The 19,768-nt window shown below is 42.4% G+C and overlaps 1 annotated feature.

The window, feature by feature from the left end:
- Nucleotides 2,136-2,636: an enhancer, noted in NCBI's record as "H3K27ac hESC enhancer chr5:90627976-90628476 (GRCh37/hg19 assembly coordinates)". NCBI's record gives its function as "activates a minimal SCP1, AML or CMV promoter by ChIP-STARR-seq in naive H9 embryonic stem cells {active_cell/tissue: H9 hESC(naive)}" and the evidence as "EXISTENCE:reporter gene assay evidence [ECO:0000049][PMID:30033119]".

Below are 19,768 nucleotides of genomic sequence, written 5' to 3'. Positions count from 1 at the left end.
CAGCCTGGCCAACATGGTGAAACCCCATCTCTACTAAAAATACAAAAATTAGCTGGCATGGTGGTGCACATCTGTAATCCCAGCTACTCAGGAGGCTGAGGCAGGAGAATCACTGGAACCCAAGAGGCGGAGATTGCAGCGAGCCTAGATCATGTCACTGCACTCCAGCCTGGGTGACAGAGTGAGACTCCATCTCAAAAAAAAAATCAACTAAAGCGCAAGTGGGTTGGTTTTGTTTTTCTGTTTTTTTTGAGACAGGGTCTCACTCTGTCACCCAGGCTGGAGTGCAGTGGTGCAATTACTGCTCACTGTAACCTCCTCCTCCCAGACTCAAGCCATCTGATTCTCCCACCTCAGCGTCCCAAGTACCTGGGACTATAGGTGTGCACCACCATACCCAGCTAAATTTTGTATTTTTTGTAGAGACCAGGTTCCACCATGTTGCCCAGATTGGTTTTGAACTCCTGAGCTCAAGCGATTTACCTGCCTCGGCCTCCCAAAGCGCTAGGATTGCAGGTGTGAGCCACCATGCCTGGCCTCTTGCAAGTGTTTTTAAAGCAAGTCTCCGGTGAGTTGATTCTCATTATTTGTGGCAGTTATGTTCTGTAAAGTCTCCACAAACACTGAATTAGTGAATACTGACGCATTGCTCCTAGGGAAAATACAAGATTAGGTTCCGACAGCCCTTGGTGACAATGTTTTTTCAACTGATCAATACATAACCTTGTTTTATGTGTTTTTCTGTTTAAAGATCTGAACCCAAAAGCATCTGAGCCAGGTCTCAATCAATTTGGAAAGTTTATGTTGCCAAGGTTAAGGACGCATTCATCACACAGCCTCAGGAGGTTCTGACATGTGCCCAGGGTTATTGGGGTACGGCTTGCTTTTATACATTTTAGGGACACATAAAACATCAATCAATAAATGTAAGATTTACTTTAGTTGGGTCTGTAAGGGCGGGAAAACTCAAAGGGAGGAGGGGCTTCCAGGTCATAGGAAGATTATAAAATGTTCTGATTGGCAATTGATTGAAAGAGTTATTATCACTAGAAAGGAATGTCTGGGTCAAGATAAGGGGTTGTGGAGACTAATGTTTTATCATGCAGATGAAGCCTCCATGTAGCAGGCTTCAGAGAGAATAGATTGTAAATGTATCTTATCAAACTGAAGGACTGTATTGATGTTGATGCTGGAGGAGTAAAATGAGATATATCTAATCCCTGCTTCCATCATGGCCTGAACTGTATCTTCAGGTTAACTCTGGAATGCCCTTGGCTGAGAGGAGAGGTCCGTTCAGATGCTTGGGGGGCCTTAGAATTTTATTTTTGGTTTACAATTACTTGGCCAGGCACGGTAGCTCATGCCTGCAATCCCAGCTCTTTGGGAAGCCAAGGTGGGCAGATTGCCTGAGCTCAGGAGTTCGAAGCCAGCCTGGACAACACGGTGAAACCCTGTCTTTACTAAAATAGAAAAAATTAGCCAGGTTTAGTGGCACGCGCCTGTAGTCCCAGATTCTTGGGAGGCTCAGGCTCAAGAATTGCTTGAACCCAGGAGATGGAGGTTGCAGTGAGCTGGATTGTACCACTGCACTGCAGCCTGGGCAACAGAGCAAGACTCTGTCTCCAAAGAAAAGGAAAGAGAAAAAAGAAAGACAATTACTTAATATACTTATGGCCACAGCACTGTAATTTATGCTTGAATGAAGCTTATCTAATACAAGGATTTATCTGTAAGACACATCACACATGTCTAGTGCTTAGGAACACTAAACAGCACCTTGCCACTACACTGGGAACCATTTTGTTTCATTTTATTTTCCAGACGGAGTTTCGCTCTTATTGCCCACATACTACATGGCATCATAATTATATGCTCACATGTCTTACTGTCCAAACGCAATTATGAGCACCTCAAGGGCTAAGATCTTACTTTATCTACTTTTGCATTGTCTAGCACAGTACCTGACTCATAATGGGGATTCAGTAAAAGTTGTTGAATGAATTTGTAAACGGATGCATAGATGGATGATAAATAGATGCATGGATGTTTCTAATTTCCACTTTGTTTGTGAATTTAACACATTTCTTGAGCACTTGCTATGTGCGAGGCACTGTACTAGACACAGGAGATAAAGCAGTGCAAGCAATTTTTAAAAGGGTCCTTGTTCTATGAAATATGTGAGCAGTGACTGGGTTGGAGGTGAGAGGGATCCTTGAGTGGCATTTGAACCAAGACCTGAATGATAACGGGAAATGAGTCATGAAAATACCAAACGGGCCACAACCTCAGCTCAGAAGTGACATCTCTTACTTAGGCTCACATTTCATTGTTTAGCACTGACCACGTGGCCTTAACTGACCACATGGTCAGTTAAGAAGTAGAGTCTCCTGTATGCCTAAGAAGGAAGGGAAAACAGAGCATGATCAACCAGCCAACAGCTCCCCAATGGCTCAGAGAAAAAGGGAATGACAAAAACAATAACTTGGCTGTTTGAAAATGCTATCTGTATTAGAATATCAATACATTTAGTGTGGATGAAAAGATAAAGACCAGAGGCAATTGTCCCCGGCAGAAGGAGAAGCAAGTGTTTGGCACATCAAAGAAACAGGAAAAAGACCAATGTATAGCTTGTGAATGAGAAACAGTGAGGGGTTGGGCACAGTGGCTCACACCTGTACTCTTAGCACTTTGGGAGGTGGGACAGGAGGATCTCTTGAGGCCAGGAGTTGGAGACCAGCCTGGGCAAAATAGTAAGACCCTATTTCTACAAAACAAAGTTTTTTTTTTTTTTAATTAGCTGGATGAAGTGGCATGTGCCTGTAGTCCTAGCTACTAGGGAAGCTGAGGCAGGAGGATTGCTTGAGCTCAGGAATTCAAGGTTATGGTGAGCTGTGATCATGCCACTGCACTTCAGCCTGGGCAGCAGAGTGTGACCCTGTCTCAGAAAACAAAAACAAAACAAAACAAAAGAACTAGGGTGGAAGAACAAGAGGAGCCAGGGTATGTAGTGCAATGTGGTCCATGCCAAGGGGTATGAATTTTACTCTCAGTGCAAAGAGACGCCTTTGTGAGAAAGCAGCCAGATAATTTAGTTTACATTTTTAAATACCTCTTTGGCTGTTGCATGCAGAATAAATTAACAGGGGCAACAGTAAAGGTGAGAAGACAGTCAGGAAGTTCTGCACTAGTCCAGGTGAGCGAGAATGATAACGAGGTCTGGCGGATGGTAACAAGAAAAGTGAGAGTTAGATCTTTAATGTAGAATAGGCAGGACTTCATGGTATATTGTGAGGGGGTGAAAATAGAGAATTCATTCACCCATAAATTTTTCGGTACACTTGTTTTTCTTTCTGGTCCTCATTTTCACCTATAAACTTGAGGATACCAGAACATATGTTAAACTGTGTTCTTCACTGCAAAATTTTTATGAACTGGATTCATAAAGTCAATGAGATATAATGAAGGCAGTAGCAAACCTCTTAAACTCTAAAAACTCTAAAAGTGAAATAGGCTGTAATCTGGGAGGCTGAGGTGGGAGGATGGCTTGTGTCCAGGAGTTCAAGACCCGCCTGGGCAGAATAGCAAGACCTCAGTCTCTAAAAAAATAAAAAATAAGCCGGTGCTATGGCGTGCACCTGTAGTCCCAGCTACTCAGGAGGCTGAGGTGGGAGGATGGTTCGAGCCCAGGAGGTCGAGGCTGCAGTAAGCAACAGAGTGAGACCCTGTCTCATAAATAAATAAATAAATAAATAAATGTGAAATAGACTTAGTGGTTCTGGCCCACCTCATTTTCATCATTAAAAAATTGATGGCTGGCCTCAGTGGCTCAGGCCTGTAATCCCAGCACTTTGGTAGGCTGTAGTGGGTGGATCATCTGAGGTCAGGAGTTCGACACCAGCCTGGCCAACATGGTGAAACCCTATCCCTACTAAAAATACAAAAGTTAGCAGGGCATGGTGGTGGGTGCCTGTAATCTCCGCTACTCAGGCAGCTGAGGCAGGAGAATTGCTTGAACCTGGGAGGCAGAGGTTGCAGTGAGCTGAGATCCTGCCACTGCACTGCAGCTGGGTGACAAAGCAAGACTCCGTCTCAAAATAAATAAAGAAATAAACAAACAAATAAATAAATTGAGACTATTCCTGAGCTTATTTAAAATATACCTTATGATTGAGATTCAGGGTGCACAAGTGCAGAACATGAGTGTGTATTGGAAGTTTTCTAGAGGTTGGCTTATGACTGGCTGATGAGGTCCAAGTATAAGAATAGCAATTGAATTTTATAAACCTTTGCATTTATTGTCAATACCAATTACATGCTGCAAGTGCAATTTCCTAACTTACTACAATTATTTGTAGCTTTTAATTACATGGTAAACTAAATATTTCAACTTTAGTTTTAAAAGTGCAATCTTCTGGCCAGGTGCAGTGGCTCGCGACTGTAATCCCAGCACTTTGGGAGGCTGAGGCGGGAGGATCACCTGAGGTCAGGAGTTCGGGACCAGCCCGACCAACATGGAGAAACCTTGTCTCTACTAAAATTACAAAATTAGCCAGGCGTGGTGGCGCATGCTTGTAATCCCAGCTACTTGGGAGGCTGAGGCAGGAGAATTACTTGAACCCGGGAGGTGGAGGTTGCAGTGAGCTGAGATGGTGCCACTGCACTCCAGCCTGGGCGACAAGAGCAAAACTCCATCTCAAAAGAAAAAAAAAAGGAAATGCAATCTTCAATTCTTTTACGTTCTGTGTAGAAACATAAAGATTATTTTTACATAATTATAGAAAACATTATAGGTTATAACGAATGGAGATATAGGAAAAAATGAAATATAAGCATTAGTTCTTCAGATACATTGAGGTTTACATTTGTGTTACATTCTAGGCAAAGCTGAAGCACCACAAAGTGGGCTAGTTGATGTATGAACCACAAATATACAAGACAACTGAAATAGAGATATGGAAATTATTTATTTTACTGTGTAACGTGACCAGATGTGTTTAAAATGCAGCAGAGTAGTCATTCTACTGGGAATACAAAACAACAAATATTTTAAAAAATAAAATGCAACAGAAGCTTAGTTGTGTCTTTCATGAGGCTGGGCACCTGTGAGGAGCAGCTGTATCTTGTGATCACAATACATGGTTCCTTGCGATTTTTTTCTGTGTTAATCCACATTTTAAACAGGGAGTCCTCCAGCTCCAGCTCTATATACATTTTTCTGAAGCATATTATGCACTTCTTATCACATGTGGAAACTGTTCTAGGAAGATAGAGCAGGTCTCAGACTGATCCATAGACCTGATAACATTTTTTTGTGGCTTGCTTGTGAAAACCAGGCTGATTCTTTGAGCTAGAGAGACTCATTCTGTTACAGGAAGAAGTTACTCCCATGGCTGCCTAGATCTTACAGGTGAGACTAGACTGGTTTCAGTAACATAGCCTAAGGAAGAAACTTTTTTTTTTTTTTTTAATCTAAGGGGATGTACCAACATGAAAGATACAATGGAAAGGAGATGAAATTCCAACACTGAAGAGGAAAGGAAAACTAGTGAACGAGGACATTCCGAGTTTTGGGGGTTTTGTTTATTTGTTTGCTTTTTTGGTTTTTTTTGAAAAGTGATTTTTGAGGAAAATTTTTTATCTTTCCCTTTTTTAGATTTGGGATGTATCACCTTTCTGTAAAGTAAGAAGGAGTTATTATAAATGTATATGTGTATTTCTCCCTTTTCTGCTAAGAAAATTACCATTAAACATGCTGCTGCTGCTGCTGCTGCTCCTCTATCTTGCACCAAGTGAATGTTTAAATAGTTTAAATAAACACGTTTCAGCTGACTGCTAGGGGAGATTCATTACAGCCAGGAGGAACTCAGTGAAACTGTTCAAGGAGATCTGGTTAATATCCCCATGATTTTTGCTTGCGGTAGAAATTGCACTAATATTTACACGAAGGGCATGGTTTGGGGGCAATAGCAAAGCTCTATTGAAGTGGGAATTTGCAGTCAGTGCCCACTAATGAAAATAGCTACAGTTCAGCGCCCTTTCCAAAAGTATAATTAGGCCCTTCAAATGACATGTGATTTTCACATTTTTACTCTCAAGGTGCAAATTTTTCTTGCCATCCAGTGCCTGGATTGAAACTATCACTGTGCAAAAATAATTAAGCAAGATAACACTAGGCTCCTGAGTAACTTCTGAAAAATGTATGTTGGTTTTTCTTTTATAAATGTTATAAATTAAAAACAAAAATTATAATTTTTTGATAGTTATACTTAAAAAATTAATCATCTATGTGAGTTATCTTTACAGTCTTTGAATAACATTATAGAACTAGGCCGGGTGTGGTGGCTCATGCCTGTAATCCCAGCACTTTGGGAGGCTGAGGCGGGCAGATCATGGGGTCAGGAATTGGAGACCAGCCTGGACAACATGGTGAAACCCCCGTCTCTATTAAAAATACAAAAATTAGCCGGGTGTGGTGGCATGTGCCTGTAATCCCAGTTACTGGGGAGGCTGAGGCAGGAGAACCGCTTGAACCAAGGAGGTGGAGGTAGCTGTGAGCTGAGATCATGTCACTGCACTCCAGCCTGGACAACAGAGCGAGACTCCATCTCAAAAAATAAAATAAAATAAAATTATAGAACTATACTTCCTGGCAATCCACATATTTGATTGAGTTCCATTTGGGTGGAGAAGAAACTTCAGACCAAAGTTACACTGCAAATACAGTTCTGCTAAAATTCTCGTGGGCTTCCTCATTGAAGTGGAGAGGGAGCCGGTGGGAAATCTCTAACACTGAGTTTGCCAGGTTTTTACTTTTTATTTTTGCTTTCCTAGTTCAATGGCTATTTAACTTGTTCAGGAAGCAGAATATCCTGAAATTAAAGGTGCTCCTTGTGTTATGATAAAATATGGATGATTTATTTCAATCCCAAAAACTCTGATTTAGTACCAAATAAATGTATCTACATATCTAAATCTAAATGGAGATACCTAGACAGATAAACAAATATTTATGCATTTATTTAATTTCTTTTTCAAGAATATTCAGTGTTGGTGTTGTAAATCACATTCCCTTGATCTTATATTTATAAATAAACCATGGCTGCTTTCTGATTTCCAACTAGGGCTCTTTCCATCTTTTCCTGTTAGTATTTGCTACTTATTCACTCATTCTTGTACCCAGCAGATAAGATGTAGTAGTTGATGTTTTAAGAAAAATACATGGGAGAAACACCTAAAATTTAGAAAATCATATTCACTTGTTTGATGTTTTCTGAGAGTTGAGAAAAATCCCATTATTTGATTTTAGAACTAAAGACATTAGTCCGGTTCAGAGTCTAGCAATTATACATTTGATAGATCTGAGCATAGCTTGAGAACTGTTCTTCAAATTTTAAGTTGAGAACCCATTACAATATCAAATTACTGTTCAGAACATAAAGAGAGAGGGTATTGATACAGCCCAAAGTTAACCAGAAGTTCTGTTTTTTCTTAATCTGTATTGAGCTCTGACTATGTGCCATGGACTGGTTTAAGCCCTTTACATGACTATTTTTAATCTTCAAAATAATTCTAAGAAACGGATAACATTATTTCATTTATTCATTCATTTATGCTAAGTGCTAGGCATTATTCCATGCCCTGAGGGTAGAACATGAACAAAACCATGTCTTTGCTCTGTTCCTGTTTGTAATTCTCATCAAGGATACAATCTGACTATGTTTAAATATCTGCTCCACCCCTTACTAGCTCTGTGACCTTGGGCAGATTTTGTAATCTCTCTGTGCCTCAGTTTCTTTATCTAGAAAGTACAGACGATAACAGTTCTTATCTTAGAAGGTTGATATGAGGTGATATGATATAATATTAAATGAGGTAATCATTGTAAAACATTTAGAACTTTGTCTGGCTAACAAATAAGCATGATACAAGTATATGTGCATCTTCACAGTCATTGTCAACAGAGCAAGCAGATCAAGTGTTTCCCCTGTGCTAGACAAGGAGGAACATGGAACACATATATGTCTATGTGGTGGTGATAAGTGATATGAAGAAAAATGAAACTGGGGGCCAGGCGTGGTGGCTCACGCCTGTAATCCCAGCACTTTGGGAGGCTGAGGTGGGCGGATCACGAGGTCAGGAGATCGAGACCATCCTGGCTAACACGGTGAAGCCCCATCTCTACTAAAAATAAAATAAAAATAAAAATAAAAAGATTAGCCAGGCGTGGTGGCAGGCACCTGTAGTCCCAGCTACTCGGGAGGCTGAGGCAGGAGAATCGCTTGAACCAGGGAGGCGGAGGTTGAAGTGAGCTGAGATCACACCACTGTATTCCAGCCTGGGCGAAAGAGTGAGACTCCGCCCTAAAAAAAAAAAAAAGAAAGAAAGAAAGAAAAGAAAAAAGAAATTGGGGAAGGGAAATAGACAAAGACAGAGATGGGTTCATTTTCTGTAGGTGGACGGGAAAATCCTCTCTGTGAAGGTAAACCTGACAGAAGCGAGGGACCAGATCATGTGGCTATGTAGAGGAAGAGCCATCCAGGCAGACGGAACAGCATGTGCAAAGGACAGGGGAGAGAGTATGCCTGGTGTGACCAAACAACAGCATGAAGGCCAACACTACCAGAAAGGGAGTGGGAGCGAGGCCGGAGATGCGGACAGAAGGCGCAGGGATCATACCAGGAAGAGCTTTGTAGGCTATGAGAAGTACTTTTTATTTTATTTTATTATTTTCTTTGTTTCTTTACTTATTTTTGAGACAGGGTCTGGCTCTGTCGCCCAGGCTGGAGTGCAGTGGTGGGATCTCCGCTAACTGCAAACTTCCAGCTCCCGGGTTCAAGCGATTCTCGTGGCTCAGCCTCCTGAGTAGCTGGGACCAAAGGGTAGCGCCACCACGCCCGGCCAGAACTTTGTATTTTAATGAGCACATTGCTCTGAATAAAGTTGAAGGCAGCCAAGGCGCGGTGGCTCACGCCTGTAATCCCAGCACTTTGGGAAGGCTGAGGCGGACGGATCGCTTGAGCTAAGGAGTTTGAGACCAGCCTGGGCAACATGGTGAAACCCCGTCACTACCAGAAACACAAAAAATTAGCCAGGCTTGGTGGCGGGCGCCTGTTGTCACAGTTTCTCTGGCAGCTGAGGCACGAGGATCGCTTGAACCTGGGAGGCGGAGGTTGCAGTAAGCCGAGATCGCGTCATTGCACTCCGTCCTGGCGACAGAGCGAGACTCCATCTCAAAAATAAATGAGAAAAAAGTTGAAGGTCTCATAAGAGATCCCGCAATAAATTGTGTCCTTGTTCTCCACGTAGGTTTTAAATAAGTAGTACAACAAAGCAAGAGATTTTTGTCTGTTTTTCTTTTTCTCCCCTAGCAGCAGAACAGTATCTGGCACAAAGCAGGCTCTCAAAAAAGCACTTGGTGAGTGAGTGAATGAAGTTCCTTTTCAAAGTAAAGATGAAAACCAGCAGATCAACTTTATTACAGATAAAGGTCCAGTTGCTAGATGCTGCTTTAGGCTGTTAAGTAAGGGGACTTCCTAATCCTACACCCCCAATATTAGACAGAAAGAACCTGAGGAAGGCTTACCTGACAACAGAGCAAAACAGAATGTTTGCTTTCTGCTAGCTGACTCCTTCCCAGGGGGGTCAAGAGCCAGGCCTGGTGTTCCATTCCACATGTATCAATCAGTAAGTCAGTCATCTTTCTGGAAGCGGAGTCTTTCTGCAGACAGAAAGAACAGGAGGTGCTTAGGAATAATCTCTCTTTAAGAAAACCAGGCCGGGAGCGGTGGCTCACGCCTGTAATCCCAGCACTTTGGGAGGCCGAGGCGGGCGGATCACCTGAGGGCGGGAGTTCGAGACCAGACTGACCAACATGGAGAGAAACCCTGTCTCTACTAAAAATACAAAAATTAGCCGGGCGTGGTGGCACATGCCTGTAGTCCCAGCTACTCGGGGGGCTGAGGCAGGAGGATCGCTTGAACCCGGGAGGCGGAGGTTGCTGTGAGCCGAGATTGTGCCACTGCACTCCAGCCTGGGCAACAAGAGCAAGACTCCGTCTCAAAAGAAAAAAGAAAACCATGGGAAGAAAAAAGGTATATCCCTCTAAACACTGAGATGGGCATACATTAGGGGATTCAGAAAAGGGAATAAAAATCTCTGATTTACATTTTAAAAGAGTTTCTTCTATTTGCCCCTCCAGATCCACTCTTTTTTCTCCTCCACTTGCCCTGTGCCAGGGGTGAGGGGAAGAGGGGTTGGACTGTCAGAAGGAAATCAAAGAGCTCTGATCCAAGGCCTGGCTATTTCTCTGTCCACATTCCCTGTAACCACTTCCTGCGCTCTGGGATACTGCTCTATTCCTTTTTTATTTCCCTCAAACCTATCCTTACCTTTGTAAATTGTTCCTTTATTAAACTGTCTTGAAATTAGCCAGTTTGCGTGAGCATCTCTTTCCTGTCTATACCCTAACTGATAAATAGATATAGTTGCTCTTGATGTTTTGTGAGGACAAGATTACTGAGGGGAGAAGGACGTGTGGGGCCTGGGGTGAGGGGTGGAGAGAGGAGGCAAGTACAAAAGCAGGCCAATTAGAATCTGGCTGCGGTGCGGCCAGATTCTCAAAAAAAAAAAAAAAAATTCATTGCAATAATCTTCAGAATATGTGGGAAAGGGCAATAAAAATAGAAATAAATTATTTTAAAAAAATCTAAAAATAAACAAAATGGGCCGGGCGCAGTGGCTCACACCTGTAATCCCAGCACTTTGGGAGGTTGAGGTGGGCAGATCACAAGATCAGGAGTTCAAGACCAGCCTGGCCAAAATGGTGAAACCCCCGTCTCTACTAAAAATACAAAAATTAGCCAGGCATGGTGGCGGGCACCTGTAGTCCCAGCTAATTGGGAGGCTGAGGCAGGAGAATGGCAGGAACCTGGGAGGTGGAGCTTGCAGTGAGCCAAGATCGCACCACTGCACTCCAGCCTGGGTGACAGAGGGAGACTCCATCTCGGAAAAAGAAAGAAAGAAAGAAAAAAATAAACAAAATGTTAATCTATTAATAAAAATTTTTTTTTTAAAGAAGCTATTGCAGTAATCAGGTGACAAAGGTGCTGGGCACCCTGGTGGTAACCACGGAAGTGGTGAGAGGTAGTTGGAGTTGGGCTTTAAATTGAAGGTAGAGCCAGCAGGACTTGCTGATGCATTGGGATAAGGACTACACAAGAGAAAAAGCTCAGAAAAGACTCCTAGTTTTGCAAATCTGCGGAACAGAAAGGCGCTATTTAGAGGTCTGACAGAGACAGAATTGACTGTGGCTTTTTTTTTCCTTTTTTTCCAGAGGTGGCAGGATATCCTCCAAGAATTTGCAAGACTGCTTTGACAAGTTTTTTTTTTTTTTTTTTGCTACTGTAGTGTTCATCTCAACACTATTAATGCCTAGTCCCTATCCTGTGGTCTTCTGTGGTTTCTCCAGTGATATCTAAAATGTTGCACGTATTTTCACCCAAGGGAATACATTTTAACCCACTTATTAAAAAAAACAAATCTGGCCTGGCCTGGTGGCTCATGCCTGTAACCCCAACACTTTGGGAGGCAGAGGTAGGCGGATCACCTGAGGTCAGGCATTTGAGACCAGCCTGGCCAACATGGTGAAACACCCTTCTCTACCAAAAATACAAAAATTAGCCAGGCGTGGTTGCATGTGCCTGTAGTCCCAGCTACTTGGGAGGCTGAGGGAGAATTGCTTGGACCCGGGAGGTGGAGGTTGCAGTGAGCACTAAGATTGTGCCACTGCACTCCAGCCTGGGTGACAGAGCAAGACTACATAACAAAAAACAAAAAACAAAAAAGCCATATATATCCCACTCTGCCTCTTTAGGAGAAGGAGGAAAGTGAATATTTTAAACCGAATTACAGAGGACTATTGCAATTGTAACAATTTCAGCCCACATATTAGCCCATAAAACAAAACCTTAAGTTTCCAAGCACAGAGCCTCCTCACTAGATCCACTGGTCAGAAAAATTGATGATGGCTACTATGGTGTGCCTATGCTGAGCATATGCACAGTATGTTCAATAGTATCTTTTTTTTTTTTTTTTGAGATGGGGTCTCACTCTGTCACCCAGACTGGAGTGCAGTGCCATGATCTCAGCTCACTAAAGCACCCGCCTTCTGGGATCAAGCTATCCTGCCACCTCAGCTTCACAAGAAGGTGGGACCACAGGCACCTGCCACCAAGCCAGGTTAATTTTTTGTGTTTTTAGTAGAGATGGGGTCTTGGCCAGGCACGGTGGCTCACACCTGTAATCCCATCACTTTGGGGAGCCAAGATGGGCAGATCACCTGAGGTCAGGCATTCAAGACCATGGCCAGGTCAGGCCTGGCCACCATGGCAAAACCCAATCTCTACTAAATATTACAAAAATTAGCTGGGCGTGGTGGCACGTGCCTGTAGTCTCAGCTACCTGGGAGGCTGAGGCAGGAGAATCACTTGAACTTGGGAGGTGGAGGTTGCAGTGAGCCGAGATTGAGCCACTGCACTCCAGCATGGGCGACAGAGCAAGACTCCATCTTAAAAAAAAAAAAGAGAGAGAGATAGGGTCTCACTATGTTGCCCAGGCTGGTCTCAAACTCCTGGGGTCAAGCGATATACCCACCTCAGCCTCCCTTTCAAAGTGCTGGGATTACAGGTATGAGCCATTGCACCTGGCCCAGTAGTATTCTAAGAATATATCGATATGTGTATAGGAAAACAAAAACTGAACACATTAAAAGATAAAAGAAACCAAATTGCTAGGGTTAAATATAAGTTAATTAGGTAACTTTTATTTCCTCTATACACTTGTCCACATTCAAACGTTTCTGAAATAAAAAGGTCTTAGTTTTAGAAACAGTTTCTATTCTGATACTGCATCCTTATACTGGGCTTCCCTGACCAACTGTCTAAAATACTGATACCCTAAAAATAGGCATGTAGACCAATGGAACGGAATAGAGAACCCAGAAATAAAGCCAAGTACTTATAGTCAACTTATCTTCGACAAAGCAAACAAAAACAAAGCGGGCAAAGGACATCCCATACAACATGTGATGCTGAGATAATTGTCATGCCCCATGTAGAAGAATGAAACTGAATCCTCATCTCTCACCTTATACAAAAATTAAGATGGATTGAAGACTTTAAGATCTGAAACCATACAAATTCTAGAAAATAACATCAGAAAAACTTTTCTAGACATTGGCTTAGGCAAAGAGTTCATGACCAAGAACCCAAAAGCAAATGCAACAATAAAAACAAAGATAAATAGATGAGAACTAATTAAACTAAAATGCTTCTGCACAGCAAAAGAAATAGCAGAGTAAACAGACAATCCAGAGTGGGAGAAAATCTTCACAAACTACGCATTCCAACAAGGACTAATATCCAGGCTCTATAAAGAACTCAAACTAACCAGCAAGAAAAAAACAAATAAAGTGGGCACAGGACATGAATAGACAATACTCAAAAGAAGATATATAAATGGCCGGCCAGACATGGTGGCTCACGCCTGTAATCCCAGCACTTTGGGAGGCCAAGGCAGGCAGGTCACCTGAGATCAGGAGTTCGAGACCAGCCTGACCAACATGGAAAAACCCTGTCTCTACTAAAAACACAAAATTAGCCAGGCGTGTTGGTGCATGCCTGTAGTCCCAGCTACTCGGGAGGCTGAGGCAGGAGAATTACTTGAACCCGGGAGGTGGAGGTTGTGGTGAGCTGACATCACACCATTGCACTCCAGCCTGGGCAACAAGAGCAAAACTCCGTCTCAAAAAAAAAAAAAAGAAAAGAAGATATATAAATGGCCAAAAAACATGAAAAAAAATGCTCAACCTCACTAATTACAGAGAAATGCAAATTAAAACCACAATAGTATACCACCTTAGTCCTGTAAAAATAGCCATAATTTAAAAATAAAACAATAAGAGGTCGGACGTGGTGGCTCATGCCTGTAATCCCAGCACTTTGGGAGGCTGAGGGGGATGGATTACCTGAGGTCAAGAGTTTGAGACTAGCCTGACCAACATGGAGAAATTCCATCTCTACTGAAAACACAAAATTAGCCGGGCATGGTGGTTCATACTTGTAATCCCAGCTACTCGGGAGGCTGAGGCAGGAGAATCGCTTGAACCTGGGAGGCAGAAGTTGCGGTGAGCCATGATGGCGCCATTGCGTGCCAGCCTGGGCAACAAGAGCAAAACTCTGTCTCAAATAAAATAAAATAAATAAAAATTTTTAAAAAATAGATGTTGAGCCAGGTGTGGTGGCTCATGCCCCTAATCCCAGCACTTTGGGAGGCTAAGGTGAGCAGATCACTTGAGCTCAGGAGTTCAAGGCCAGCACGGCCAACAAAGTAAGACCCTATCTCTAAAAAAACAAACAAACAAACAAACAAACAAAAAGTTGACCTGGATGGGATGTGGTGAAAAGGGGACACTTTTACACTGCTGAACGGATGTAAACTAGTACAACCACTATGGAAAGCAGTACAGAGATTCCTTAAAGAACTAAAAATAGAACTACCATTTGATCCAGCAATCCCACTACTAGGTATCTACCCAAAGGAAAATAAGTCATTATATAAAAAAGACACTTGCGTACATGTGTTTATAGCAGCATAATTCACAATTGCAAAGATATGGAACCAACCAAAATGCCTATAAACCAAAGACTGGATAAAGAAAATGTGGTATATATACACCATGAAATACTACTCAACCATAAAAAGGAATAAAATAATGGCATACAGCAACCTGGATGGAATTGGAGATGATTATTCTAAGTGAAATAACTCAGGAATGGAAAACTAAACATTGTATGTTCTCACCCATAAGTGGGAGGTAAGCTATGAGTATGCAAACGCATAAGGATGATATAATGAGCTTTGAGGACTTGAGGGGAAGGGTGGGAGGGAGGTGAGAAATAAAGACTACATATTGGGTACAGTGTACAGCACTCGGGTGATAGGTACACCAAAATCTCAGAAATCAGCACTAAAGAACTTATCCATGTAACCAAAAACCACTTGTTTCTCAAAAACTGTTGAAATAAAATATAAAATAAAATAAAATAAAATAAAAATAGGACATTATTTTAAAATTAAAAAAAAATAATTATACCCCACTTCACAATCCAGTTTCACACAAATGCATACACATACTGCTTTACTCTTCTTTATAGCATATAACTCAGCCTGAAATTATATAATTCGTTCATTGCACAATTCCATCAATAAGATTCAAGTTCTCTGTTCTACTTTTCCCCACTTCTCACTAGTGCACTTGACCAGTCTTAAAATAAAAAAATAAAAATAGGCCGGGCACGGTGGCTCACGCCTGTAATCCCAGCACTTTGGGAGGCCAAGGCGTGCTGATTACTTGTGGTCAGGAGTTTGAGACCAGCCTAGACAACATGGTGAAACTCCATTTCTACTAAAAATACAAATATTAGCTGGGCGTGGTGGCGGGCGCCTGTAATTTCAGCTACTGGGGAGACCGAGGCCCAAGAATTGATTGAACTTGGCAGGCAGAGGTTGTACTCCAGCCTGGGTGACAGAGCCAGAACTTGTCTCAAAAACAAGTAATTAATTAATTAAAAATTAAAAAATTAAAGTAAGTTCTCTACCTTGTTCACCCTTCCTGTGCCTAGAACTTAGGAGGTGCACAATAAATATTTGCTAATTCACACACACACACACACACACACACACACACAGACACACACACACAGACACAGACACACACACACACATACAGTATTTGGCAGCGGAAAGAGATTATCACGGTGATTCTAAAAATCCGTAGCACTCATAGGAGTATCTGTTGACCCAAATTTTCTTTTCTTTTCTTTTTTTTTTTTGAGAAGGAGTTTCGCTCTTGTTGCCCACGCTGGAGTACAATAGCACGATCTGGGCTCACCACAATCTCCGCCTCCCCACAATCTCCGCCTCCCCAGTTCAAGCGATTTTTCTGCCTCAGCTTCCCAAGCAGCTGGGCTTACAGGCATGTGACACCATGCCTAGCTAATTTTTGTATTTTTAGTAGAGACAGGGTTTCTCTATATTGTTCAGGCTGGTCTTGAATTCCCGACCTCATGTGATCCACCTGCCTCGGCCTCCCAAAGTGCTGGGATTACAAGAATGGGCCACTGCGCTTGGCCAGGTTGATACAAATTTTCTAAAGATAAATGTTAACCATCTTTTTCTTTTTTCCATATTGTTAGTAGAGATGGGGTTTTGTCATGTTGGCCAGGCTGGTCTCAAACTGCTGACCTCAAGGGATCTGCCCCCCTTGGCCTCCTAAAGTGCTGGGATTATATGTGGGAACCACAGTGCCCGACCGCCATCTATTAAAAAAAAAAAACAGCTTCAGAAATATCATGACATTCAATTCAGGAAGTCTACATGTAGGGCTGAATAGGAGATTCAAATAAATATTAATTTACAAAACTGTCTTCGTAGCATTATATAGTAATGGGAAATACAAGGTTTGGCTAAATATATTATGAAGCCATAAAAGAATAAATTGTTATAGCCAAAGAAATTGTTAGAACAATTAAATAGCTATAGAAAAGGGTGTGTCATCTATTATTAAATTTGAAAAGTAGTTAACAAACTAGCATGATCAGTATTCCTTATAAAAGTAAAATTCTGATGGCCGGGCACAGTGACACACTCCTATAATGCCAGCACTTTGGGAGGCTGAGGCAGGCAGATCGCTTGAGCTCAGGAATTCGAGACCAGCCTAGGCAACATGGTGAAACCCCATCTCTACAAAATAAAAACAAAACAAAACAATTCAGCTGGGCGTGGTGGCACACACCTGTAGTCCCAGCTACTCAGCTACTCAGGAGGCTGAAATGGGAGGATCACTTGAGCACAGGGAGATCAAGACCACAGTGAGCCCAGATCGCGGCCTGCACTCCAGCCTGGGTGACAGAGTGAGACCCTGCTTCAAACAACAACAACAAAACAACAACAAAGACCTCGCCCCCAACTTCACCTTCCCACCTACCCTCACCTCCAACTCCAAAAACAAACAAACAAACAACTTTGTAAAGTGTGTACTCCAGAATACCTACCATTGTTATTCCTTGGTTGTGAGATTATATGTTTCAGAGTTTCTTCTATGTGTGTGTGTTTTTTGTTTTTTTTTTTTTTTTTGAGACAGAGTCTCACTCTATTGCCCAGACTGGAGTCCAATGGTGTGAGCCACCGTGCCCAGCCTTACATATGTATTTTTAAATGTTTACAGTAACCTAATGAAACAACATGTTGTTTTACTTTGTTTCATTTTAAAATACTGCTTAAAATTATTATAAGTAAACCAAAGTGGATTTCCTAAGGACTCATAGCTACAGAATATCTCAAAGCAGAAAAAGTAAAACTTGCAAGTGAATTAGAATCACAAAAAGTCTGAATATTTTCTGTTTTCATTGTTGTTACCCAAACATTTATCTCAAGTGGAAATATTTCCCTCTGGGCTCCAAAAGAGATTTGTAAAATTACTACTGCCTGCCAAAAGAAATTAATATTGCAAATAGTAATTAAACTCTGGGGGGTAAATAAAAAACCACAATTCACAATTATCCTTGAGTGGAATCTGCAAAGGTTGGAGGTAAGTGGAGAGCTCCTCTTTCAAAGTCAAATCAAGTCAATAGTGTTAAGCACCACAGTGTGGACAGGACCCACTGGACTAAACTCTGAGGAAACACAAAATGTGTGACCCAAAGTCCTTGTTCGCCAGAGACAATACTTATGTAGCCAAGGAAATTCCTGTTAGAAAACGGTTTGCAGTGAGTAGGAAGGATGGTGTAGAGGTGAATAGTGGGGTTATGGATAGTGTGGATTGTCATTCCTTTGATCTGAACCAGGGGTTGCAAAAACATAATCCGAAATTTGAATCAGCCCTTGCAGACAAGTTAAAGCATTTATAATGCTTAAAAGTGTGTTAGAAACCAGCTGGGTGTGGTGGCTTATACCTGTAATCCCAGCACTTTGGGCGAGTGGATCACTTGAGGTCAGGAGTTCGAGACCAGCCTGGCCAACATGGTAAAACCCCATCGCTACCAAAAAGAATAAAAAATTAGCCAGGTGTGGCAGTGTGCACCTGTAATCCCAGCCACTCAGGAGGCTGAGGCAGGAGAATCGCTTCAACCTGGGAGGCAGTGAGCCGAGACCATGCCACTGCACTCCAGCCTGAGTGACAGAGCGAGACTCCATCTCAAACAAACAAAAAAGTTAGAAACCTATTTAGCTTATTTCGGGCATAGCACAGAGCAGCTAGTCCAAATCACAAATTTAAGTTTTCTGTTCCTATAGGTATAGTTTTTGAGTCTCGTATCTAAGCTATCCTTGAATCCCTACTTGAAAGTTGACCAACATTTGTCAAACAAAAAAATCTAGAGAATACTGCTCTTTAATGACCAACATGAAAGTACTGTGCTACTAAATTTTATATTTATTTATTTATTTACTTATATTGAGACAGGGTCTCTTTCTGTCACCCAGGCTGGAGTGCAGTGGTATGATCATGGCTCACCACAGCCTCCATCTCCTGGGCTTAGGTCATCTTCCAGCCTCAGCCTCCCATGTAGCTGGGAACACAGGTGCATGCCACCATATCCAGCTAATTTTTTGATATTTTTGTAAGGACAGGGGTGTCACTCTTGCCTGAGCTGGTCTTAAACTCCTGAGCTCAAGAGATCCTCCCACCTCGGCCTCCCAAAGTGCTAGGATTATAGGTGTGAGCCACCATACCCAGCCTACTAAATTTTAATAATGGTAACTTCTGCAATTTTCAGGAAATAGCTACTAGGTAGGATTTCCTCCTAGGCCACTTTTCTCTTTTCTTTTTTTCCCCCTTCCCTTTCCCCTTCTTCTCCTTCCCCTTTTTCCTCTTCCCCTTCCCCTTCTTCTCCTTTCAGAAGGAGTCTCGCTCCATCACCCAGGCTAGAGTGCAGTGGGGTGATCTGGGCTCTCTGCAACCTCCATCTCCCAGGTTCAAGCGATTCTACTGCCTCAGCCTCCGAGTAGCTGGGATTATAGGAGTGCACCAACACATCTGGATTTTTTGGATTTTTTGTAGAGACAGGGTTTCACCATGTTAGGTCAGACTGGTCTCCAACTCCTGATCTCAAGTGATCTGCATGCTCCGGCCTCCCAAAGTACCGGGATTATAGGAGTGAGCCACCACACCTGGCCTCTAGGCCACGTTCTTAAAGCTTTGTCCTGTCACCATTTATCTGCCAGGGACAAAAACAAAGAAACAAACAGAAGTAAGCCGATATCAAGTAGAAAAAAAAGCAAAACAAGTTAAGATTCTATTATGCTAGGAAGGTAGGTATAGATAAGTTCCTATAGGACCCTAATGGTCAGGATATTGAATTTCGACTTTATCCTGAAGACAATAGGGAGTCTTTGATATGGAGACAGACTAGAAATGTAAAATCAGTCTCTACATTTCAGAAACAAGGCTGAGTGCCGTGGCTCATGCCTAGAATCCCAGCACTTTGGAAGGCCGAGGCGAGCGGATCACTTGAGGTCAGCAGTTTGAGATCAGCCTGGCCAACATGGCGAAACTTCGTTTCTACTAAAAATACAAATAGCCAGGTGTGGTGGCAGGCGTCTGTAATCCCCGGTACTCAGGAAGCTGAAGCAAGAGAATTGCTTGAACCCAGGAGGCAGAGGTTGCACTGAGCCAAGATCACACCATTGCACTCCAGCCTGGGCAACAGAG

This window comes from Homo sapiens, chromosome 5, assembly GCF_000001405.40.
Source record: "Homo sapiens chromosome 5, GRCh38.p14 Primary Assembly".
NCBI classification, from domain to species: Eukaryota; Metazoa; Chordata; class Mammalia; order Primates; family Hominidae; genus Homo; species Homo sapiens.
This window is presented reverse-complemented; position numbering and strand designations above follow the sequence as displayed.